We start from the raw sequence: 25,868 nt of genomic DNA, 5'->3' as shown, positions 1-25,868 counted from the left end.
CCTGGGAAACGTAGTTCGGCCTCGCGTCCCCCTCGGGCGGGACCGCGGACGCCTGGAGGCAGGCACTGAGGACGGGTGAGCATGCGGGCCTGTGGCTCGTTCACCCGGGACAAGTCCCTCGTGGGATCAGCCTGGCCCGCTGAGTTCTCCTGCGTGCAGGGATCGCCTCACGGGAGTCTGAGCAGCAGGGAGCCTGCCCGGGAGGCGGCGGTGGGAGAGGCCCTTGAGGGAGGAGGGGCTACTTACCGGGTGCGAGTGGAGCGCGGGGAGCGAGTGGGGACCAGGGGCGCGCGGGGCGGAGGGGTCCCGGGCTGGCTGCGGGTGCCACGCAGGGAGCGCTGGGGGGCCGGGGATGCGCGTTTGCCTCCTTCTCTAAGCAACACGGGAGGGCTAAAGGGTGCACGCCTCTGTCCAGCAGCCTCTCTTGAATCTCTAAACCTAGTAATGAGTTGAATCACAGCCATCGTTTTTTTCACCTATTGCCTTATACTGTGGTTGAATGCGATATGGTTTTATTTCTTTAATACTCTGGTGTATTCAATTGGCTGTTTCCCTTTGACTTCACCTATGCTCACAAGATTGTGTTTTAATCTTTTTGTGTACTATCCTTGCCCGTTATACTAACAAGATTTTACAAGCTTCATGAATAATTTGGACAGCACAGTCTCTCTTCTATTCTGTAAAACAGGTCACCACCCCTCACCGCCCCCCGCCCGCCTCCAAAAGTTTGGTGCTATTTGGTCTTAAAATATTTAGTACGCATTTAACTTCTGACTCAATTTTTTTTTTTTTTTTTTTTGAGACAGAGTTTCGCTCTTTGTTGCCCAGGCTGGAGTGCAATGGCGCCATCTTGGCTCACAGCAACCTCCGCCTCCCGGGTTCAAGTGATTCTTCTGCCTCAGTCTTGTGAGTTGCCGGGATTACAGACATGAGCCACCACGCCCAGCTAATTCTGTATTTTTAGTGGAGATGGGGTTTCTCCATGTTGGTCAGGCTGGTCTGGAACTCCCGACCTCAGGTGATCAGCCTGCCTCGGCCTCCCAAAGCGCTGAGATTACAAGCGTGAGCCACCGCACCCGGCCCTGACTCAATTTTTTAAAAAGTCTCATTGATTAGGTTTTTTAGTTCGTATTCTGTTTTAGATACCTTTCCTAGATAATTGTTTTTAATCTAATTTTTCAAATTTATTGGCATAAAATTGCCCATGCTATTTTATCACTGTAAGTAATTTCTATGGTGATTTTTAAAATCACCACTTTTTAATATTTTACTGCTGTAATTGTTATTTTTTTCTTTTTTGAACCTAATTATCTAGGCCTTTTTTTCTTGATTACTCCTATAAGGTATATGTGTACATAGTCTTTTCAAAAATGTAGATTTGGTTTTGGTTTTTTTGTTGTTTTGTTTTGGTCTTTTTTGGGGAGGGGGGTCCTATTACAGTAAGTTTTGCTCTTAATTTTTAAATTTTTCTTTTACTTTGTCTCTGTTTTTCTACTTTTTTTTTTTTTTCGAGACAGAGTTTCACTCTGTCTCCAGGCTGGAGTGCAGTGGCGTGATCTCGGCTCACTGTAGCCTCTACCACCCGGATTCAAGCGATTCTCCTGCCTCAGGCCCCACCACGCCCGGCTAATCCAGCTAATTTTTGTTTTTGTTTGTTTGTTTGTTTTTGAGACAGAGTCTCTCTCTCTCGCCCAGGCGGGAATGCAATGGCAGGATCTCTGCTCACTGCAACTTCCACATCCCGGGTTCAAGCCATTCTCCTGCCTCAGCCTCTGGAATAGCTGGGATCACAGGCGCACACTGCCATGCCCGGTTAATTTTTTGTATTTTTTAGTAGAGACGGGGTTTCACGGTGTTGCCCAGGCTGGTCTCGAACTCTTCAGCTCAGGCAATCCGCCCGCCTTGGCCTCCCAAAGTGCTAGGATTACAGGCGTGAGCCACCGTGCCTGGCCATCTGCTTCTTGATTTGACTGGGTAATTAATTTACTACTCTTTATTTGTGCTCCAAGAAATGTGTGTGTACATTTTTAAGAGCTGAATATGTTAAAAGACTCATAATAAAAACAGGAAACACCTTAACCCCATCTCTTCCCAGTGGCAACCACTTGGAAATATTTAAGCAGTTCTGGCTTCGAACTCCTCTCAGTATTTTTTTATTCACCGATTTGTGACATTATTTTAAAATTTTTATCATGTTAAATAAGAACTTTGGCTGCCTTCTTTCTACATCCTTAAATCACAATGTAATTATTTTACAAATATTATAATGTAGTTCTCCCACAAATTTTGGATAAATATGTTCAGTGTTTTCATTTGATGACTACTCTTTAGTACTGAGCCATAATATGTTTCTTTCTTGTGCAAGGTTTACCTTTCTTGTTTTTAATGACTGCCTTTTTTATTCATTTGCTTAGTTTTTCTTAAATCTATGTAAAATGTCTTTTGGTTCCATTTTCCTCAAGGGCTAATCTGTCATACAGTCTTATCACTTTTCTCCTTTCCTGGACATCCCCCTGCAATGTAGATTGATCAGTTACTCTGTAGGCATGCAGCACGCTGGCATACCACTGGGCTTCCCTTTTGCCCTCATCAATTTCCTCATCTCACCTCTGTGTTAAATCTCCTGTTTCCTGTAAAGCACTTCTATTCCTGTTTGGTGGATTGTAATCTTAACTGCCTTGAAGAAAGGGTCCATATGATCTACATATATTAAAGTTGTAGAAATGATTAGAAATTACTTTTTCCTCACATTTGTGTGGTGTTTTCACCGAGTATACACATCTCAATAGGAAATTACTTTCCATTAGAATTTTGAAAGCCAGTGAAGCTAGATAGGAAATGGAGCAGTGTTACTGTTACTGTTGAGAAGTCCTATTTCATACCTTGTTCTTTTATGTGTAATCTGTTTATCATCTCTTGGAGCTCTTTGGTATTCAAAAATTTCATGATGATGTGTGTTCTAATTATTTAAAGAAATTACTTGCTTTGATGGATCAGTTCTTAGATACTGTGTTTTTTTAAGGAATAAGAAGTTTCTGGCCGGGCACCGTGGCTCACGCCTGTAATCCCAACATTTTGGGAGGCCGAGGTGGGTGGATCATGAGGTCAGGAGTTCAAGACCAGGCTGGCCAAGATGGTGAAACCCCATCTCTACTACTAAAAATAAGAAAATTAGCCGGGCGTGGTGGCCGGCGCCTGTAATCCCAGCTACTTCGGAGGCTGAGGCAGAGAATTGCTTAAACCCGGGAGGCAGAGGTTTCAGTGAGCCGAGATTGTGCCACTGCACTCCAGCTTGGGCGACTCCGTCTCAAAAAAAAAAAAAAAAAAAAAAAGTTTTCCTGTACTTGTTTGTTTCTTCCTCTTGTTTTTTCTTTCTGGAACTCTGAGTAATCTGGGGTACCTTAAATTGCTCATATAGTGGTCTTTTTTTATTTATTCTTACTTTTTCTTTTAGATCAGCTTTACTTATTTATTCATTTATTTATTGAAACAGAGTCTCACTGTGTTGCCCAGGCTGGAGTGCAGTGGCACATCTCGGCTCACTGCAGCCTCCACCTCTTGGGTTCAAGCATTTCTCCTGCTTCAGCCTCCCGAGTAGCTGGGATTACAGGTGTGCACCAACACATCTAGCTTTTTTTTTTTTTTGTATTTTTATTTGAGACGGGGTTTCACTGTGTTGGCCAGGCTGGTCTTAGAATTCTGACCTGAAGTGATTCGCCTACCTCGGCTCCCAAAGTGCTGGATTACAGGCGTAAGCCACTGTGTTCAGCCAAGATCAGCTTTCTAGAAAAGTTCCTTAAGTTTATCTTTTTTTTTTTTTTTTTTTTTGAGACGGAGTCTCGCTTTGTTGCCCAGGCTGGAGTGCAGTGGTACGACCTCGGCTCACTGCAAGCTCCACCTTCCAGGTTCATGCCATTCTCCTGCCTCACACTCCCGTGTAGCTGGGACTACAGGCACCCACCACCACGCCCGGCTAATTTTTTATATTTTTAGTAGAGATGGGGTTTCACAGTAGCCAGGATGGTCTCGATCTCCTGACCTCATGATCCACCCGCCTCAGTACTGGGATTTCAGGCATGAGCCTCCGTGCCCGGCCCTAAGTTTATCTTTTAACCCTTGTACCTTTTTGGGGAGTTTTTAAATTATAATTTTTAACTTCCTGGGAAATTAAAAAAAATCCATAGAGTTGTATTCTTATTTCATAGAGGAAATATCTCTCTGATTATTTTTCAAATTATGAAGTTTTCAAACACATACACAAATATAGTAGTACAGTGTACCAATCATCCTATTTTATTTTTTCCTGATGAGAAGATGTACATATTTAGAATTAGCCAGCTGGACTCAGTTTAGATTATTCAGTTTTGTTGGCAACATCCAGAGCATGGGAACCAGGAGCCAGTCAAACATATGCCTTCTTCTCTCCATCAGGCCTGATCAAGGTGTTGACCTTGGCCACATCAGTGTCATAGAGCTTCTTCACAAGCCTGTGAGGAGGGCATGTTGACCTGGTGCTTGTTGGCTTTAAGATCCACAGTGAGCACAAGTGTGTTACCTTCTATCCTCTTCATGGCAGACTCAGTAGGAATTTGATGATAGCATGGTGGTCAATCTTGTTTCTCCTGAGGGTGCTCTTCTGAAGATACGTGGGCTGCCTCCAGAGCCTCAGTGTCTTGGGCTGCTAGAAGATGGGTGACATGCGGATCTTCTTTTTTTTTGTTGCTGTGAATACCTTTCACCACTGCCTTTTTGACCTTCAAAGCCTTTGCTTTGGCTTTAGCCATAGGAGAGACAGGAGTTTCCTTCTTCGCCATCAGTGCCATCTTGTGAAAAAGGCCCCATTGTTCTATTTTGAAGCAAATCTTGGACATTATATATTATTTGCAAATATTTCAGAATGCATCTCTGAATGATAAGTACTCCTTTTTAAGTAGGATAGTCTCACACCTGCAAAATTTGTAATTCCTTTATATCAAATTTATAGGCAAAAGCCAAGGGATGGGGTGGGGAGGGTATGCCTGTAGTCCCAGCCATTCAGGAGGCCAGAGGCTAAGGTGGAGGATCACTTAAGCCAGGATTTCAAGGTTAGCCTGGCCAATATAGTGACACCCTGTCTCTAAAAAATAAGTAACTAATGTATAGGCAGTGTTCAGATTTTTCCGTTTTCTCGTGAATTTTTAAAATTCATTTCTTTGACTCATGGTCCAGATAATGTTTATACAATTTGAAGTCTGTATGGTTTTTCCATAGAAAAATTATGTCTCCATATTGTTTTAATTCCAATATCCCTTGCTGTGTGCTCTTTTGAATATGCTGTTGTTGCTTTGAAGTTTGTTGTTTTCTGTTTCTTACATTGTTTCCTCTGAATTCCTTCTTTGCTTTTGTTTTACTCCTACACCCCTCTGCTTTCTTCTGAGTTCAGCTTACATCCTTTTAGTAGTTCCTTCAGGAACTATCTTGAGTGGTTAACACACACACCCATATAGAACACCCATATAAAACAACAACAACCTAGAATTCAATCGTATGCTAAAGACTGAGAGCAATATAAAAGGCCTTTTATATTGCTCTCAGTCTTTAGCATACGATTGAATTCTAGGTTGTTGTTGTTTTCCTTTAGTACTTTGAAGATATTATTTTATTGCCTTTTTGGCCTCTATCTTTGCAACTGAGAAGTCTGTAGTCAGTATAATTGATATTCCCTTGTAGATAATTAGCCTTTTTTCTTCGGTAACTTTAAAGTTTTACACATTATTCTTGATATTCTAGTTTACCTTCAGTGTAGCTGGTAGCTGATGTATTTTTAAAATGTATTCTACATGGCACATGGTATATAGGCTTTCAGATCAAGGACTTATATATCCTTCTTTCATCTTGGAGTAAAAACAATCATTCATTATATCTCACATTGCTTCTTTTCTGTTCCCTTTTTTCTCCTCTTCTGGAATTCCTGTTCAACACATATGCATATCTTTAATCCATCTGGAATTTGTGAATGTGAGGGGTGTGTTTTTTTCCAAACAGAAAGCCATTTGTCTTGATATCATTTGTTAAATAGTTCATCCTTCCCCCCACCGATTTAAAGTGCCATCTTTGTTATGTACTAAATGTCTAGCTACACAGAATCTGTTTCTGAAGATACTGTTTTGTTTTCTATTATTGCCCTAATATCATTCTGTTTTACTTACTAGAGATTTATAATGTATTTTGAAACATAATAGGGTAAGGCATTTTAAAGTATTTGCCTTGATTTTTTATATATCTTTAGTTTTCTATAAAACTTTAAAAGCTACATTTCAGGAAATCCCTATTAAATACATAGATTAATCAAAATCCCATGGTGATTCACCTAGTGAATCTCGCCATTTATTCAAATATTTTTTCCTATTGTTTAGTAAAGTTGTTTAGTGTTTGTAATTAGTGCTATAACTAGAAAAGAAAGAAAACTATGAGGAATGAAGGGTTAAACCTGCAATACAATTCTTAATATCTTTTACTACAAGGCAAACAGATTTTCTTTCTTGAAGAGGAAGCCTAACTTTGTTGTTGTTGTTGTTGTTGTTGTTTGTGTGTGTTTTTGTTTTTTTTTTTTCAAGCAAAGGATTTCACTCCGTTGCCCAGGCTGGAGTGTGGTAGCATGAACATGGTTCACTGCAGTCTCAACCTCCTGGGCTCAAGTGATCCTCCCATCTCAGCCTCCTGAGTAGCTGGGGCTTCAGGCGCATGCCACCATGGTTGGCTAATATTTAAATTTTTTGTAGAGACCCAGAGTCCCACCATGTTGCCCAGTCTGGTAGCAGTCCTCCGCGTTGGTCTCCCAAAGTGCTGGGATTACAGGCATTAGCCCCTGTACCCAACCCAGAAGCCTAACAATTTCCTTTTCCTTCTTGAAAGAAGGGTGTGGGTGTGGAAAAAATACCCCCATGCACAAAACCTTAATTATCATAGGTTCATTTGGTTTACTCAAATTGTTGAGTTTCTGCCATGGGCTGAGGACTCTTCTAGGTACTAGGAATATAGCAGTAAACAAATCAGACAAAATCTATTTCTAAATGAGTTTCCCTAAAGTGACAGACCTATATACGCTCCTGGTTTAGGGACATAGACTACCTGATAAAGATCTTTGTCTAAATAAAAATGTCAGTTCTATAATTTTGTCCATTAAAACTGAGTTCTATTGATGTACAGTATTCACAGAAAAGACTTGCATTTGACGGTTAACTACCTAGTCTTCCAAAAGTGAGAACTTTAAAAATATTAGTATAATAAATTGTTTTGTGATTTGTCATGATCCTTAAAGTCCCCAAGCATGTATCTTTTGTATTTACGCTATATGTTATTTTGTTATTTATATTAAATCCATTATAAAAATTATCCAGGAAAGTACAATATCTAATGTTAATAGTTAGTGCCTCACTCCTAAACTTGGGAATGCAGTTCATGGTTCTTCCTTTGTCATTTGACCCCATTCAAGTGTTAGATAGAATAAATTATCATAGATGACAATATGGACTTTGGGGAGGGAGGTTAAACTGGAAGTAATAATCAAATGAACATCTGTTTCTTTATTCTAAGTTCTAGGGTACATGTGCAGAATGCGCAGGTTTGTTAAGTAAACATGTGCTGCACCTATCAACCCATCGCCTAGGTATTAAGCCTGGCATGCATTAGCTCTTTTTCCTAATGCTCTCCCTGCTGCCCTCACCCGACAGGCCCCAGTGCGTGTTCCCCACCCTGTGTCCGTATGTTCTCATTGAAGTGAACATCTGTTTCAAAGTCACATATACACCTTTAACTTCAATAAAATTCATTGGTAGGATAGCAGCCAAGTTGTCAGTCCTGTAAGGTTATTCTTGTAAACAAGTTATAGAAGAAATTTATATGAAACAGGTGTGTTTCACAGGGAAATTGTTTGTTTTTCTGTCCCCAAAAGTTAAAAAAGTAGCAAATAGTACATTAAATTTAATTTGACAGCCATGCATTTTTTACTGGTTGGTTCTCTTTAGTTTACATTTTTAAAAATAACTCATGCCCCATTCACCCAGAGCTCAAAGTGGTCTGCAGGAGAAGCCAGTACAAAGAATCAGGATGGCATTTCTTGAAGTGGGTAAGGATCGTTATATTGCATGTCAGTACAAATCCCAGTAAAGATTTTAAGCTGGTTAGACCTTGCTGAGAGGTAATGGGGAGGGTCTACAATTTTGTATTCACCTTTCCCCAAGTGGGGCCCTGTTTCCAGCTTTCTTCTTTTACCTGAACTTGCTTCTTTGGCTACAGGGAGAACTTCGGGTGAAATGCATCCCTCCTGTGACTGGATTGGAGACACAAGAACAGAAACATCCTGATCTCTCTACTCTACTGTGCAGGCTTATGTACTCATAAAATGGCAGTTATGGACCTATCCTCCCCATGGGCTTTAACTAAACAGGACTCTGCCTGTTTCCATCTGAGAAATGCTGAAGAGGAAAGGATGATTGCTGTATTTCTGACAACCTGGTTACAGGAACCAATGACTTTCAAAGATGTAGCTGTGGAGTTCACTCAGGAGGAGTGGATGATGCTGGATTCTGCTCAAAGAAGTCTGTACAGAGATGTGATGTTGGAAAACTATAGAAATCTCACCTCCGTGGAATATCAGTTGTACAGGCTTACTGTGATCTCCCCATTGGATCAAGAAGAGATAAGGAATATGAAAAAGAGAATTCCCCAAGCCATCTGTCCAGACCAGAAGATTCAACCTAAAACCAAAGAATCAACTGTGCAGAAAATTTTGTGGGAGGAACCATCCAATGCAGTGAAAATGATAAAACTCACAATGCATAATTGGTCCTCCACATTAAGAGAAGACTGGGAATGCCATAAGATCAGAAAACAGCATAAGATTCCAGGGGGACATTGGAGGCAAATGATATATGCCCCAAAGAAAACAGTACCTCAGGAGCTATTCCGTGACTATCATGAATTAGAGGAAAACTCTAAACTTGGATCAAAACTTATTTTTTCACAGAGCATTTTCACCAGTAAACATTGCCAAAAATGTTACTCAGAGATTGGATGTTTGAAACACAATTCAATCATAAACAATTATGTGAAAAACTCTATAAGTGAGAAGCTCTATGAAAGTCATGAATGTGATACAACTCTATGGCATTTTCAGAGAAATCAAACAGTACAAAAAGAGTACACATATTCTAAACATGGAATGCACTTCACACATAATATGTTTCCTGTACCTAACAATTTGCATATGGCACAGAATGCCTGTGAATGTAATAAAGATGAAACGCTGTGTCATCAATCATCCCTTAAGAAACAAGGACAAACTCATACTGAAAAGAAACATGAATGCAATCAATGTGGAAAAGCCTTCAAAAGGATTTCTAATCTTACTTTATACAAGAAAAGTCACATGGGTGAGAAACAATATGAATGTAAAGAATGTGGTAAAGTGTTCAATGATTCCTCAACCTTAAGGAGACATGTAAGAACTCACACTGGAGAGAAACCCTATGAATGTAATCAATGTGGAAAAGCTTTCAGTCAAAAAACATCCCTTAAGGCTCACATGAGAACTCACACTGGAGAGAAACCTTATGAATGTAATCAGTGTGGAAAATCCTTTGGCACAAGCTCTTACCTTATAGTGCACAAGAGAATACACACTGGAGAAAAACTCTATGAATGCAGTGAGTGTGGAAAAGCCTTCAACACGAGCTCTCACCTTAAAGTTCATAAGAAAATTCATACCGGAGAGAATGTTTATGAATGCAGTGACTGTGGGAAAGTTTTCAGTGGGGTCTCATCCCTTAGAATGCATATAAGAACTCACACTGGAGAGAAACCCTATGAATGTAAGGAATGTAGGAAAGCCTTCAGTGTTTCCTCTTCCCTTAGGAGGCATGTGAGAATTCACACTGGAGAGAAACCCTATGAATGTATTCAATGTGGAAAAGCCTTCAGTCAGAGCTCTTCACTTATTATACACAAGAGAATTCATACTGAGAGAGAAACCCTGTAAGTGTTATGAATGTGGAATTGCTGTTTTCATTGTCTTAAGGTGGATTCCAAGCTCCTTGTCTCAGTCTTTGTTCTCTAAAAGAACGATTTAAGGTTACAAATGGCTCTTTTTTTAATATAACATTTTCTGTAAATACTAATTATGACTTTTTTTGATCCATGGCTGTTTAGAATTAGGTATTTTTAATATGTGAGGTAGGTATATTTTCAGTTATCTTTTTATTGTTGGTTTCTAGGTTAATTCCATTGTGTTCAGAGAATCTGGACTATATTTTACTGCTTTGTTGGTGTTTTTATAAAAGTTGTTTTCTGGCCCAGTGAGACTGGTATTGCTAGCAGCCAACCAAACATTTGAGCTCATCTTTCCTTACTAATGAATTCCATCTTAGCCAAGAACAATAAGGTCTCTGGTTATAGAACGCTTCTTTGACTTCTTGTAGCTAAGGGTAGCCATATCATTCATTCTTGCTGATTCAAAAATAGACATATCACTGGGATCAGAACTATCTATCTTGTCCTCTACTTTTTGCACTTCATCTTTGTCCCTATGAATTGGCCATTCCTGAAGCTGCTGAAAGAGCTATCTTGTGATCATGAAAATGACAGCTGTAGCCAAGGGATGAAGTAGAAGAAAGAGATCCCTGTTCCTCAAAGAAATCTTTAAATAGTTGTACCAGCCCTGCACTACTTGTATCTGGATATGTTCCTACATGAGAAAAATAAGGTTTTTTGTTTGTTTTTTGAGATGGAGTCTCGGTATGTTGCCCAGGCTGGAGTGCAGTGGCACAATCTCAGCTCACTGCAACCTCCACCTCCCAGGTTCAGGTGATTCTCCTGCCTCAGCCTCCTGAGTAGCTGGGATTACAGGCACCACCGCCATGCCTGGCTAATTTTAGTATTTTTAATAGAGACGGGGTTTCACCATGTTGGCCAGGTTGGTCTCAAACTCCTGACCTCAGGTGATCCACCCACCTAGGCGTCCCAAAGTGTTGGCATTACAGGCGTGAGCCACTGTGCCCGGCCAAGAAAAATATGTTAATTGATTTTTTCTTTTTTTTTTTCAATTTTTCAGACAGAGTCTCTGTCTCTCAGGCTAGAATGCAGTGGTGTGGTCATGGCTCATTGCAACCTCGACCTCCTGGGCTCAGGTGATCCACCACAGTCTCCTCAGTAGTTGGGATCACAAATGCATGCCACCATGCCTGGCTAATTTTAAAAATATATATTTTGTAGAGACAGGCTCTTCCTACATTGCTCAGACTGGTCTGAAACTCCTGGGCTCAAGCAGTCCTCCTGCCTTTGCCTCCCAAAGTGCTAGGATTCCAGGCATGAGTTACCATGCCTGGCTCTTACTGATTTTTTTTAAAGCACTACATAAATACAGTCAACGCAGTCACCATATTGTAGAAAAACAGAAGTATATACAGTTAAATGTTTTATGTTGGATGTACACATTTGAAGAGGAACATAGAAAAAAAGTATGGAAAAGGAATGTTGACCGAGCTTTTATGCTTAAGCAGCAGATGAAGATAGAACCAAGATCACTGAAAGCAAGTGTTTAGAACAGCAAAAAGAGTATCCCAACATTTCAGCATTGGAACTACAGAAAGTTTTCAGACAGAGGGGAAGTTACCAATTTTAAATGCTAAGTAAAGCATGAGATTTTGCTGCTTGATCTTGCAGATACTGACCAGATTAGTTCTAACAAAATATGGAAGGAGTGGCATACGGTGGAAGAAAGAAGGCAGTAGCTGCTGTTGTAGTTATTCATGTTAGCCTCAGAGGATGGTGAGACATCCAGATGAAGAGGTTGGTACGCAATTCTAGAATTGAGGAGGTGTCTAGATAGAGATATAAATTGTAGTGACATCAGTAAAGAGACAATAACAGGCTTTGGAAGGTGAGTAAGAATGAAAAGGGAAGGTCTGCCACCTACCCTGAAGACATACATTTAAAGGAACTATAGTAGAGAGATAAGAGGAAAACAAGAAGAGTGGAGTTTCACTGAACCAAGACAAACAAGTTTCAAAAAGGAAGGTGAAGTTGGCCAGGTGTGGTGGTTCACGCCTGTAATCCTGGCACTTTGAGAGGCTGAGGCAGGCGGATCACAAGGTCAGATCGAGACCATCCTGGCCAACATGGTGAAACCCTGGTTCTACTAAAATACAAAAATTAGCCGGGTGTGGTGGCACATGCCTGTAGTCCCAGCTACTCAGGAGCTGAGGCAGAAGAATCACTTGAACCTGGGAGGCAGAGGTTGCAGTGAGATGAGATCTCACCACTGCACTCCAGCCTGGTGACAGAGCAGGACTTCATCTCAAAAAAAAAAAAAAAAAAAGGAAGGTGAAGGTAAATGTTTTTAGTGTTACTTAGGGATCCAATTAGATGAAGTCTAAAAAGGTAAACATATACAGCCAAGTGAAGATCATTTGTGATTGTAGTTGGAAATAACATAGTGGTACATAATGAAGATGGTTGCTAGATTGGGCTGACTTTAGGAATCAATAAAGGGCAAAGAAGTAAAGACTGGATGTAGACAAGTTTGAATAATAGGAGAAAGGGTAGTAGCTGGAGAGATTTGGAGTAAAGAGATAATATGTTTAAAATATGAAAAACTAGAACATGTTTGAATTCTAATGTGATGAATGTAGTATGGTGAGGTTTAATATGCAGCATAATAAAGTTTAATATAAGCTTCTGAGAATGGGGTGTAGATGTTTAGAGCACAAACAAAAGTATTGGTGTTTGCCATGAGGCGGAGGGATACTCCCACCATTCTTTCAGGAGTAGAAAAATGGGTGGGTTGGTTTAAATTACTTGTTTATTTATTTACACCTAACTGTACTAAGCAGTGATCAGAATATGTGAACTATATAATGTTTTGTGTTTCCTAAGAACTGTGTGGCAGCCACTGCTAATTACTAACCAAATATATATATTTTTTATTCTTTATGAATAGATCTTCAGTTTTGCTAACAGTAGTATTGTATTTAGCTACAAAACTACTTATCCCAACCTCTTTGTAGCCTTGATGCCATTTCTACTGTTCCTGGCCAGTAAAATATAGATATATGATTATAGGTTTCATGGTAAGATTATCTGCTAAGAGGAAGGTGGATGAAATTCTGCAAGGAGGTTTTAGTGAAGAAGATCTCTATGTATTTGAAAGTCCTTCCAAGTTATCAATAGAGCCATCAGTGGAGAAGACAGCAAAGCAAGTAGCAAAGTCTATGTGATTGAGGAGAGGTCATTTAAATAAAAGATAGCAAGGAAGAGAGGGAGAAAGTGGTATAACTAGATGGTATGAACTTCAAAGGAAGGAGTGGTTTTCTCCAGGCTGCAATGGTTAGAAGCAGTGTTAGGGAGTAAGGAAGATACTGATCCCACTTCCAACCTGTGGATATGTGGAATACATGAGAATAAGCCCCCTTGTGATGTGATTGTTGTCAGGTAGGTGTTTTTTCCTTCCCAGGGAACAGCCAAGTTTAAATTAATGAAAGGAAATGTTCAGGGAAATAGTTGAGGATATTAAGGGAGTTTATTAAGGGAATCTCAGAGGGCACCATGAAAGAGTCTCCAGAAGGGCAGGGGTTTAGGGTTTCTGGCTTTGGCCTGAGGAATACAGAAGATTGTAATGACATTATTGATAGAGGAAAAAAGACCAGATCAGGGGCTATGACCAGTGAAAACAAAATTTAGAGGGAGTATAGGTTAAATCCCAGCAGTCTGTAAGAAGATGATGGGTATTTAGGTCTACTGGGATTCATTTGTAGCTTGGAAAGGAGAGCCTGCAGTCATGCTGTGAAACCAAGTGGTTTCAGGTGTTAGCAGCCCTGGTGGGTATAGCACTAGCCATCAGTAGTTAGAAAATGGTCCCAACTGGCCGGGTGCAGTGGCTCACGCTTCTAATCCCAGCACTTTGGGAGGCCGAGGCAGGCGGATCACGAGGTCAGGAGATTGAGACCATCCTGGCTAACATGATGAAACCTCGTCTCTACTAAAAATACAAAAAATTAGCCAAGTGTGGTGGTGGGCGCCTGTAGTACCAGCTACTCGGGAGGCTGAGGCAGGAGAATGCTGTGAACCCGGGAGGCAGAGGTTGTGGTAAGCCGAGATCGCACCACTGCATTCCGGCCTAGGTGACAGAGCAAGACTCCGTCTCAAGAAAATCGTCCCAACTGCATGTGGTCCTTGGGTGAGATCATCTTAAGGAGTACTCAGCAAGGGATTGTACTTTGCTTGGTTAGGACTGGAATTTACACTCTAATTTTGGCCCAGTGATCTTGGAACAGATTGAGCATCTCAAATCTGAAAATCTGAAATTCAGAATGCTCCAAAACCTGAAACCTTGTGCGCCGATGTGACTTTCAAAAGAAATGCTCATTGGAGCATTTAAAATTTTGGATTTTCAGATTTGTGATGCTCAACTAGTAGGTATAATGCAAATATTCCAAAATCCAAAACAGTTCTGGTCCCAAGTGTTTTGAATAAGGAATACTCATCCTGTACACCAGGAGGTAGACTCAGGCACAGTCTCGCCCAGCATCTCACCTGGATTTTATTGCAATAGCCTCCTAACTGGTTTCTCTGACTTGAATCATACTTTCCTTTAGTATGTTTTCTATGCAGCTGCCATGGTATCCTATTAAAAAACAAAACAAAACAAAACAAAAACTTTGTGGTTTTTAATAATAAAACTAATACATGCATAGGAGAAAACAATGTAAATAACTTCTGCCCTACACAGAAGGAAACCCTGGATTCTACTGCCTTAAAAAATTAATATCGTAGGTGAATGTGCATTCTGTCAGACTTTATGTACATACAAACATTTTATAAAAATTGAGTTATACCTTTTATCCCACATCTTTTTTTTTTTTTTTTTTTTTTTTTTGAGAAGGAGTTTTGCTTTTTCCCAGGCTGGAGTGCAGTGGCACGTTCTCGGCTCACAGCAACCTCTGCCTCCTGGGTTCAAGCAATTCTCCTGCCTCAGCCTCCCAAGTAGCTGGGATTACAGGCATGTGCCACCACTCCTGGCTAATTTTGTATTTTTAGTAGAGACAGGGTTTCTCCATGTTGGTCAGGCTGGTCTCAAACTCCTAACCTCAGGTGATCCGCCTGCCTCAGCCTCCCAAATTGTTGGGATTGTGAGGCCATCGCCCCCAGCCTATCCAACATCTTTTTAAACATCTTTCCATGTCAGTGCATGTAGTTCTATTTCATTTGTAATAGCTGCTTAGTATTTGATTATATGCTTGTACCATAATGTATTTGATCCATTTGCCTCCAGAGTTTTTATAACAATACTGCAATCAATAATATTGTTTATATATTGTGCTTTCCTATCAACTGTTCTCTACACTTCCCAGGGTGATCCATCTAAAGTACTAACCTGATCACATAACATTTCACGTTTAATCTTCTTCTGGCCTTTTTCTCCAGTTAAGATAAAATCTTTTTACAAGACCTTGCTCAAACTCTTGCCTTTTCAGGCCTTATCTCTGGTTATTCCCTTTATCTTCACTGTCTCCCTAATTTAACCTGTCCTATTTATCCTTTAGGTATTGTGTCCTTCATCTGCTTTAACAATACTTGTCACACTTTCACACTGTATTGCCTGTTTGTGTATTGTGCCCTCTACACTGTAAGTTTTGGTAAGGTGGGAACTTTGTCTAAATTTTTCATTGTTTTATTACTTGGCCCAGTGTAGGTGTTCAGTTAAATATTTACGGTTCTTCAGCAAATTTTGTGCCTTTTCTTTTACTTACCATTCTAGTGGAAGTTTAACTTAAAAGCTATTTAAGTGATTGTAAGGTAAAAGTTGCAAGGAGGTGGGTGCAATGGCCTGTGCCTGTAGTCCTATCTGCTCTGGAGGCTGACGTGGGAGGATTGCTTGAGCCCAGGAGTTTGAGACCAGCCTGAGTAACATGAGACTCCATTATAGTAAAAATGCATGGAATTAATTTTTCTTCTAGGTATAGGAAAATGTTGCACCATAACAGGTGTGCAGAAACTAAGACTGTTAGGACAACAGCAGTTTAATGTTATTTATATTATGTCCCTCTCCTAGTCCTTCTCCTCTCTTCCCTCATCCCACTCACCACCACCCCATTCACTACACAGACTTATTTTTTGTAGAGCAAGTGTTCATATTCTGTTCCATTATGTATTATAATATGAAAAGGGATGAGTTGACCAAGTATTGGTGGGTGTGTCGTATACTTGCTTTAGACTACCAATGGAAGCGTAAATTAGTACAAACTTACTGGGTGGGTGTGGTGGCTCACATCTGTAATCCCAGCACTTTGAGAGGCTGAGGTGAGTAGATTGCTTGAGCCCAGGAGTTTGAAACCAGCCTAGGCAACATGGCAAAACCCCATCTCTACCAAAAAAAAAAAATTACCCATGGTGTCATGAATCTGTGGTCCCAGCCACTAGGGATGCTGGGGTAGGAGGATCACTTGAGCTGCAGTGGGGTTGAGTCTGCAGTGAGCTGTGTGCACCACTGCACTCCAGCCTGGGTGACAGAGTAAGACCCTGTCTAAAAACAAAAACAAACCAAAAAAAACTTGGGACAGTAAAGCAATAAATGTCCAAAGCTGGAATATTTATAACCTTTAAATATTTAAAACCCAGCAATTTTAAACTGAGATTTTATAAAAGGATTTTTCATGTATAAGTAACAATATTCACCTGTTTCATGCCCTAGTGAAAAACTGGAAAATTCCTAAATTCCCAGTAACAGTCAATAAAATGGAATATAATGCAGTCATTAAAATGTATTTGTGTGGATTGACATGTGGAGATATATTTGATACATTATGAATTTTAAACAGTCACAAAATATGGTATGACTTTTTAATGCATGTTATAAATATGTGTGTGTGCATTGAAAATATGGAAAGACATAACACCAAAGTTTTATCAATGGTTATGTCATAATTTTTTTCTTTTGTCTTTTTTTAAGATGTCTAGTTTAGTGAACAGAGCTGTGGTCTATTTCTTAAAAATAATTCTATCATTAACTTTTTAATAAATACTTTTTAAAGCATGATTTTAATATCTTCAAAGTTGTAAAGTAAATAATTTGCTTAGGCTGTTGTTGGACACATAGATTCTTTTCATTTTTTTAAATACCAGATTAAAAAAATTGAAAAATATATTTTTTTATATTTTATAAATATATTTTTAATAAATAAATATAAATATATATATATATATTTTTTGAGACAGAGTCTTGCTCTGTCGCCCAGGCTGTAGTGCAGTGGCACGATCTCTGCTCACCGCAAGCTCCACCTCCTGGGTTCATGCCATTCTCCTGCCTCAGCCTCCCGAGTAGCTGGGACTACAGGCGCACGCCACCATGCCCAGCTAATTTTTTGTATTTTTAGTAGAGACAGGGTTTCACCGTATTAGCCAGGATGGTCTCGATCTCCTGACCTCGTGATCTGCCCGTCTCGGCCTCCCAAAGTGCTGGGGAAAATATATTTTTTAACTTACCATTTCTATCTCCTACTTTTTAAAGGCAAACTTTTTGAAAGTGTTGATAAAGGGTGTGGATACTTTTTAGACTTCCTCTTACTCTAGGCAGAATTCAAAATATGAAGGATACAAATAAGTTTCTCTGATAAGAACAGGGAATTGTGTTAGAAAAAGCAGTCAGGGCTAGGCGCAGTGGCGCACGCCTGTAATCCCAGTGTTTTCGGGAGGCAGAGGTGGGTGGATTGCCTGAGCTCAAGAGTTCAAGACCAGCCTGGGCAACATGGTGAAACCCCATGTCTACTAAAAATACAAAAACTAGCTGGGCGTGGTGGCACACACCTGTAGTCCCAGCTACTGGGAGGCTGAGGCAGGAGAATCACTTGAACCCAGGAGGCGGAGGTTGCAGTGAGCCAAGATAGTGCCACTGCACTCCAGCCTGGGTGACAGAGCAAGACTGTGTCTCAAAAAAAAAAAAGAAGGTCTCCATGAGAAAATAACATTTAACTTGAAATACGAAGTTAAAGAAGGAGTAGGGAGCTCCTTCTTCTGGCTCCATGGGCAGAGGGTGGAGGGACAGAGGAAGAGCTTTCTAAATAGAACAGCAAGAGCAAAAAGACTCATCAGGATTTGACATATTTGTGGAACAGAAAGTAAGTCCAGTAAATGGAAAACTGTTAGGCAAAGGGGTAAGGAGAAGAGTATGTGAAACCAGATTGAAAGGAGGCAGGGGCCAGATAAAGACCTTGCTAGCTATGACATGAGTTTATACTTTATTTGAAGAGTTATGAGGAACTATTTAAGTTTTTCAGAGATTGAAATTATTTGTTTTAAAAAGATCACATTTTTGTATAAAAAAATCTTGAGAGACTAGGAAGCTATTTGCAATAGTTCATGTATGAAATTTGAATGCCAAAAACTAATTTCCTTAGCATTCACTTTTTTATTTATTTTTCTTTATTTTTTAATTTTCTGTAAGTTACTGGGTTTCCTTTTTAATTTTTCCATAAGTTGCATTCACTTTTTAAAAGACAATGAGATTTGTTTTAGCATAAACAGGAAATTCATGGCTAATACATGTCATGACTTAAATTCACCTCTAACTTAAGAAATGCATGTCAAATACATAAAATTATATTTTCTACCTATGAGCACAGTTTCATGGGAGTTTTGATTTTTCTAAAATATTTTTTGATGCAATATCCATTTTTTTCCATGCAATTTTGTCCTTTGTGATATTGAGGGTGTTCATGATGCAGAATTTATTTTAAAAAATTATTTCTGTAATATTTATTTCTCCCTTTTTTTGAGACAGTGTCTCACTCTTGCCCAGACTGGAGTGTAGTGGCACAATCTCAGCTCACTGCCACCTCAACCTTCTGGGCTCATGTGATCCTCCTACCTCAGCCTCCTCAGTTGTGGGGACCACAGGCATGTGCTATTACACCTGGATAATTTTTTTATTTGTATTTTTTGTAGAAATGGGGTCTCACTGCATTGCCCAGGCTGGTATCAAACTCCTGGGCTCAAGCAATCTTTCTGCCTTGGCCTCCCAAAGTGCTGGGTTACATAATTTATTTTTTTTTGTTTTGTTTCCTTAAAAGAATTGTTAACATACCAGATAATTTTTTACACTTTTTGCCACTTTTTCTATGTCCTGCCTTTTAAAGGCAGACTTTTTGAATGAGTTGCTAAGGACTCAGACTCTTTCTTCCAAATCAATCATACCCAATAGGCAGGTTTTGCTACCTCTCTTTGCTCTGAAATTTCTTGGATCTCTTCAGAGGGATTTAACAAATTTCCTGTCCTTTTTCTCTTTTCTTTTTCTTTTGTTGGTTTTGTTTTGTTTTGTTGAGATGGAATCTTGCTTTGTCGCCCAGGCTGGAATACAGTAGCGTGATCTCGGCTCACTGCAACCTCCACCTCCTGGGTTCAAGTGATTCTCCATGCCTCAGCCTCCATGAGTAGCTTGGATTACAGGCATGCACCGCCACACCCAACTAATTTTTTGTATTTTTAGTAGCAATGGGGTTTCACCATGTTGGCCAGGCTGATTTTAAACTCTTGACCTCAAGTGATCTGCCTGCCTCAGCCTCCCATGCTGGGATCATGCTGGGATTACAGGCACAAGTCACTTAGCCCCCTGCCTTACATACATTGATGTATGATAGAAAATTCTTTTGGGCACATCACAGCAACAAAAGTTAACCCAGCTTTACCTATTTGTGAGTATCTTAAGTCTCCCAAAGCATTTGATTGTTGCTTTCCAAGAAAATACAGAATTGTGGTCATTCTCCCATGACTATTCTTTACTAATATTGATTGCATCTGTTGTTCTGTCGCCTTTCTGCATTCATAGTAACTTCTTTTTCCAATGCTGAAGATTAGTTTTAATAACCTTTTGGGAGACTTCTTTTAAAAAACTTTTTTTTCCTGAAGAATAATACATAAAGGCATGCAGCTTTATGAATTTCCCCAAATAGAACACACTTAACCAGTCCCCAGATCATGAGAGCCAAATTAATACTTTTACTACTTTTGCAATATTCCTAGACTCATCTTTTAAACGTCTCCCTCCTTTCTTGTGCTATTGTCGTGCTATTTACTTCGGTGTATTTTATAATCCACCAGATATTGTTATGAAAGTAAATATTTATATCAGAGTTGACAAACTTTGTCTGAAGGTCCTGAGAGTAAATAAATATTCTAGGTTTTCTTTTTTTTTGAGACGGAGTCTCGCTCTGTCACCCAGGCTGGAGTACAGTGGCGCAATCTCAGCTCACTGCAAGCTCCGCCTCCCAGGTTCACGCCATTCTTCTGCTTCAGCCTCTCAAGCAGCTGGGACTACAGGCGTCTGCCACCACGCCCGGCCAATATTCTAGGTTTTGCAGGCCATATATGGTAACTGTTGCATATTCTTATTTTTCTAAGCAGCTTTTTAAAGATGTTAAAATCATTCTTAGCTCAAAGGCCTTGATTTGGTCCATAGACCATAATTTCCCAACACCTGACTTGTATTTATCAACATATTTACCCCTCCAGTGTTATTTATTTCTGCATTTCCAAGTTTCTAAGATCATTTCATACTGCCTGAAAAATTATTTCTTTTAGCATAAGAATGCTACCGTAAATTTCCTCTATTTTTATTCTGAAACATCTTTATTTCTGAAGGATATTTTAGCTCAGTATGAAAAGAGGTTAGCAGTTTTTCACAGTGTACATATGAGCCCCCCGTCCCCCACTGCAATAGTTTTTCTTAAAGGGACCTGCCTCTCCCTTAGTTGAGAATATTTAAGTGAACTTGAGAATATTTAAGTGAACTGGCTTCAACCATATGTCAAGTAGTATGTTTGTGGGCTATCAATTTATTTCTAGGAACCCTATGATCATTTAGCCATTGCCACCTATATGGTTAAAATTCTCATTAACAGTGCATCCCTTGGACTCTTGTGCAGATTTTACCCAACCCCTCCCATGCCAAGATCCTATGATCTCTACTGAAATTGGGATCTTACTTTCATTATAGAAGTTCTGCATCATCTACAGTCTAGAGAGGGTGGGTACCACAGAGTTGTCCAAGGATGGTGGTAAACTCCTCACCAATGTATTTCTTAATACCCTGACGGGAATGTCTTTTGGCCTTTCTCTGGCTAAGGGAAAAAATGAACATAATAATTCATTGATAGTTACATCTCCCTCTAAAGCAGAGGTGTCCAATCTTTTGGCTTCCCTGGGCTACACCAGAAGAAGAATTTTCTTGAGCCACAATAACTGATAGCTATCATTAGTGTTCACGTATTTTATATGTGGCCCAAGACAATTCTTCCAATGTGGCCCAGGGATGCCAAAAGATTGGACACTGGATTCCATCCAGTATGACTTTTCAGATATCTAAGAAGATTTTGCTACACTTATTACAATGGTAGTTTTCCCACAGTGTAATTCTCTGATATAGGTTTGAAATATTGCAGAAATTCACTCTACATTCATTTATACAGTTGCTTTTTCTCCTACAAGAGTATTAAAATTTAAGTATTGCATTGTAATTGAAGGCATTCCCAAATCACTGTGTTTGTATCACTTTGGTTAATTGGAGATTGCTCCAAAGTAAACGTTCTCAATGTTGGCTGCACTCAACAAAAACTAGAGGGCAAAGATTTGATGTAGTCAGGGGTTGGCCAAGTTTTTCTGTAAAGGGCTAGATAGTAAATGTTTAACCTTTATGGCTGTATATTAAACTCTTCAGTTATAGAGGTAAGGAGCCATAGACTATGTAAATGAATACCTGGCCCATGGGCTGTAGCTTGATGACCTCTGATATAGTTCATGAGGTGCATCCCCACAGAGTAAACAGTAGGAAGGAAAGTGGATGTGGAGCAGATAATGGGAGAAATTGAGTATACTCTTAAATAAATAAATAATGAATTTTTCATATCCTAATTTTGCTGACAGGGTAACTTGATTTTTACCCTGATACAAACCATTCCTGCCTGAGAAAACCAAATCAGATACTAGATACCCATATGTAATAAGGCATGCTGCTTGAGGACACCAAATCAGATATTAAATACCCATATGTAATAAGGCATGCTGCTTGAGAAAATCAAATCAGATATTAGATACCCATACGTAGTAAGGCATGCTGCTTGTATTCGAGTCAGACTGTACACTATTGTAAGATAAATCAGCCTCTCTGAAACAACTCTTATGGAAACTTGAGAAGCTTCTAAATGTATGTACCAATATGGCATGCCAATGGCAGGTTTGAGGAAATACACTTCTGATAATGTATTTAGAACTCTAGTACATGTAAATAAGGTGTTTTTGGGCTAAAACTTTTATAAATTTCACCTCTTACAAAATTACTTATATTTATCTAATAACACCTCCTACAAATGTGCCCTCAATGCAGCCATTACATTAATGCTCACTAAATTCATTCCTATTCATATTCTCTACCTCTCTTTCTACAAAATAAAATTGCTTACCTTCCTGATTAAGGCAAACTAACCCTGATGGTGTGACCTTTGTCAGCTGGGCAGGTGGTAATGCCAGAACAGTTTTAAATACCTGCTTACAAAAGAACGGTTTTCACCGTACATGGAACAAAACAGGAAGAATACCTTGGTAATTTTCTGTGATGTATCTTATATTTGTTTCACACTGAATAACAAATGTCTATAGTCAGATTCAAGGATAACTGTCAGCATTACCTTAAATCCAAACTCTGTCTGAAAGTTAAAATCATAAAACACCTAAAAACACTTTGTTATGTTTGTATGTTTCAACAAGAAAAACTACTGTTTATTTTTTATGTCAATATTGTAGTTACATTTTCAGAATCACATGCTGTGGGAAAAAATCAGCAAGCAGAAGGTTTATAATAAACCAAAAGATTTATTTATAACATTTTCTGAATTCACTTAAAAAACAAAAAGGAATCCCCCTTCCCTCAAAATAGAACCGTTTCCTACAGATTCCATCCAGTATGACTTTTCAGATATCTAAGGAGATTTTGCTACACTTATTACAATGGTAGTTTTCCCACAGTGTAATTCTCTGATATAGGTTTGAAATATTGCAGAAAGTCACTCTACATTCATTTATACAGTTGCTTTTTCTCCTACAAGAGTATTAAAATGTAAGTATTGCATTGTAAATGAAGGCATTCCCAAATCACTGTGTTTGTATCACTTTGCTTAAATATGAATTTTCTGATCTCCAAAGTGCATCATCTTTGTAAAGCTCATCCCTTGTCCATGCTTTCTGTCCTGGTTGACAGATGCGGAATGAGGGCTAATCTCTGGCTTTCTCCAATCTATTGGATATGTATTCTTTCCTGGTAGGAATTTACACACGTAAAGTAAGGGACTCCTACCAAATGAAGTCTTCTCAACATTACCAGATGGAAGAATCTTCTCAACAATATTGATTTCACCTTGTTATTGCAAAAAAATAAAAGAGTGGTTATTAATGGCTTTTCCACATATTCCTGGGTTTTTTTTTCTCCAGGGTGGTGAATAAAGTGTGGGCCATATTACTTCACAGTCATCACTTTCACATAAGGCTTCTTTCCAAGAGTTCTCTGAAGTAAGGCATTATACTTCTTTTTAAAAAATTCCATACATTCATAGTTTTTCTTTGCAGTGTAAATTCACTGGTGTTCAGTAAGGAATGAGTGGTAATTAAATGAATTTTCATATTCATAGGGGTTGTCAAGAGTGTGTGTCCTCTGATGTTTAGCAAGGTTTGAGCTCCAGCTGAAGGATTTGTTGCATACCTTACATACATAGGGTTTCTCTCCAGTATGAGTTCTCTGATGTAGAATGAGGGAAAAGCTCCGGCTGAAGGCTTTATCACATTCAGCACACGCATAGGGTTTCTCTCCAGTGTGACTCTTCGTATGTTGAATAAGGGATGCATGCCAAGTGAAAACTTTACCACATTCATCACATTCATAGAGCTTTTCTCCAGCATGAATTCTCTGATGTTTAATAAGGAATGAGTGACAACGGAAAGCTTTCCTACATTCATTACATTCATACGGGGTTTTGGTTGTATGGATGCTCTGATGTCGAGTAAGGTGTGAGAAACGGCGAAATGCCTTCCCACATTCAATGCATTCATAAGGTTTCTCTCCAGTATGTGTAATCTGGTGGCGAATGAGTTCTGAGCCACTGCTAAATGCTTTACCACATTTCCTACATATATATTGTTTCTTTCCTATGTGAATTCTTTGATGTCGAGTGAGGTTGGAGGCACGGCTAAAGGCCTTTCCACACTCAGTACATTCATAAGGTTTCTCCCCAGTGTGCGTTCTCTGGTGTTCAATAAGAAATGAAAGGTAACTGAATGTTTTATTACAGTCCTTACACTCATGGGGTTTCTTTCCAGTATGTATCATTTGGTGTTTCACAAGGTTTGAAATCTGGCTAAAGGTTTTGCCACATTCCTTACATGCATATGGTTTCTCTCCAGTATGAGTCCTCTGGTGTAACACCAGGGAAAAGCGTCGACCAAAAGTTTTTCCACATTCATGGCATCCATAGGGCCTCTCCACAGTACTGATATTCATATGTTGAGCCAGGGCTTCTTGATGAGAGACTGTTACTTTCCTAATACATCCCTGATTTTCTTGCAGCATCTCAGTATGATCCTTGCATTTCCAGCCTCCTTTAAAACTGGAATACACAGGGCCTTGACTTAGAATTCTTTCCATGATCAAATACTGGGATGAGTCATCATAAATGACATTTTTTGGTGAAAAGTCTTTGATCTCACCACTTGACTCTGAAACTGAAAGATACCAAAAAAAAAGTGAATGTTTCTTTTTCCTGTATTGAATAAAATAAGGCCATTTCTCCCTTCTTTAGCAACAGAATGAAGTTTCAAAAAATCTTATCAATAGCAGCTTTCACAGCTGTGACTGAAATCTGAGTAGTATGCCCAGAACTTCAGAAAAGATCAAACAGAGATAGACATATAGGTAAATAAAGAGAAAGTGTAAACGTAAGTAATTGAAAGAGCAGGGAAAATAGAGCTATCAGGAAATATTTGTGAAGGATAGGTTGCTAGTCTTCTTCACCACCATTTAAACGGTATTTACTGCCAGAATTATCTAAAAATGGCAATTTCATAATGCTGCTACTAAACACTAAGTGTTCGTCAGATTGCACAAAGACATTAGATTCTGTTCACTTAGTGCCTCTGGAACATCTTATAATAATCTAAATGAAAAAAAAAGCGGTTTCTCTGAAAACTTGCCTATGATCCTCCAACTCTACCTTCTGAACTAGTATGAAGCTCATATTTGGTATAATTATGTCTTTTCTGGGACCTATTTGAGGGTGGAATGTGGGAGGAGGGTAAGGATTAAAAACCTGACTATTGGGCATTATGCTGATTACCTGGGTGACAAAATTATCTGCACACCAAACCCCCATGACACACAATTTGCTCATGTAACATGAGTAACCTTTAACCTAAAATGAAAGTTGGACAGAAAAATAAAGTGTCTTAATATCAAATGTGTTTGACAAATATAAGCCCTAATTTTCTCCATGCTGAATTTTAACGAGGGACTTCATCATTTTTAAATTGGAACAGAATTTTGAAATAATATGAAGTGTCTCCTTAAAAATACATTCATACTCTTGGCCGGGCGCAGTGGCTCACGCCTGTAATCTCAGCACTTTGGGAGGCCAAGGCGGGCAGATCATGAGGTCAGGAGATCGAGACCAGCCTGGCTAACACAGTGAAACCCCGTCTCTACTAAGAATACAAAAAATTAGCCAGGCGTGATGGCATGCACCTGTAGTCCCAGGTACTCAGGAGGCTGAGGCAGGAGAATCATTTGAACCTGGGAGGCAGAG

The 25,868-nt window shown here is 39.4% G+C and overlaps 2 protein-coding genes and 1 pseudogene across 10 annotated transcripts in view, besides 2 other annotated features; 1 reads left to right on the top strand and 2 right to left on the bottom strand.

Moving 5' to 3' along the window:
• Window positions 1-27: 27 nt before the first annotated feature.
• ZNF891 (zinc finger protein 891) lies at window positions 28-25,523 on the top strand. Its single transcript, NM_001277291.2, has 2 exons — window positions 28-75; window positions 8,278-25,523. Exon 2 carries the CDS (start codon window positions 8,384-8,386, stop codon window positions 10,016-10,018), a length of 1,635 nt encoding a protein of 544 aa, NP_001264220.1. The 5' UTR covers window positions 28-75; window positions 8,278-8,383; the 3' UTR covers window positions 10,019-25,523.
• Window positions 233-412: a silencer, noted in NCBI's record as "silent region_5135". NCBI's record gives its function as "represses an Ori minimal core promoter by ATAC-STARR-seq in GM12878 lymphoblastoid cells {active_cell/tissue: GM12878}" and the evidence as "EXISTENCE:reporter gene assay evidence [ECO:0000049][PMID:35858748]".
• RPL23AP67 (ribosomal protein L23a pseudogene 67) lies at window positions 4,315-4,836 on the bottom strand (annotated as a pseudogene).
• Window positions 7,001-7,170: an enhancer, noted in NCBI's record as "experimental_26217 CRE fragment used in MPRA reporter constructs". NCBI's record gives its function as "activates a minimal promoter by MPRAs in K562 erythroleukemia cells, with activity observed for the non-introgressed 12:133699803 variant allele {active_cell/tissue: K562}" and the evidence as "EXISTENCE:reporter gene assay evidence [ECO:0000049][PMID:34662402]".
• ZNF140 (zinc finger protein 140) overlaps window positions 22,874-25,868 on the bottom strand; it is a 27,004-nt gene continuing 24,009 nt past the window's right edge. For 8 of the 9 annotated variants that reach the window (XM_011534834.4, XM_011534835.4, XM_011534833.3 and 5 more), the window contains one exon: window positions 22,874-24,792. In XM_011534834.4, the coding sequence (XP_011533136.1) occupies window positions 23,651-24,792 (1,142 nt within the window). In that variant the 3' untranslated portion in view covers window positions 22,874-23,650. The remainder of the gene's footprint in view (window positions 24,793-25,868) is intronic. The other variant, NM_001300777.2, reaches the window with a different exon arrangement.

The sequence above is a fragment of the Homo sapiens genome, chromosome 12, assembly GCF_000001405.40.
Source record: "Homo sapiens chromosome 12, GRCh38.p14 Primary Assembly".
Lineage (NCBI taxonomy): Eukaryota > Metazoa > Chordata > Mammalia > Primates > Hominidae > Homo > Homo sapiens.
The sequence above is the reverse complement of the archived record's forward strand: the minus strand, read 5'-3'. Positions and strand labels throughout refer to the sequence as shown.

Excerpts from the sequence above, each read along its gene's own strand:
- ZNF891 (NM_001277291.2), top strand. The coding sequence starts at position 8,384 with ATGGCAGTTATGGACCTATCCTCCCCATGGGCTTTAACTAAACAGGAC.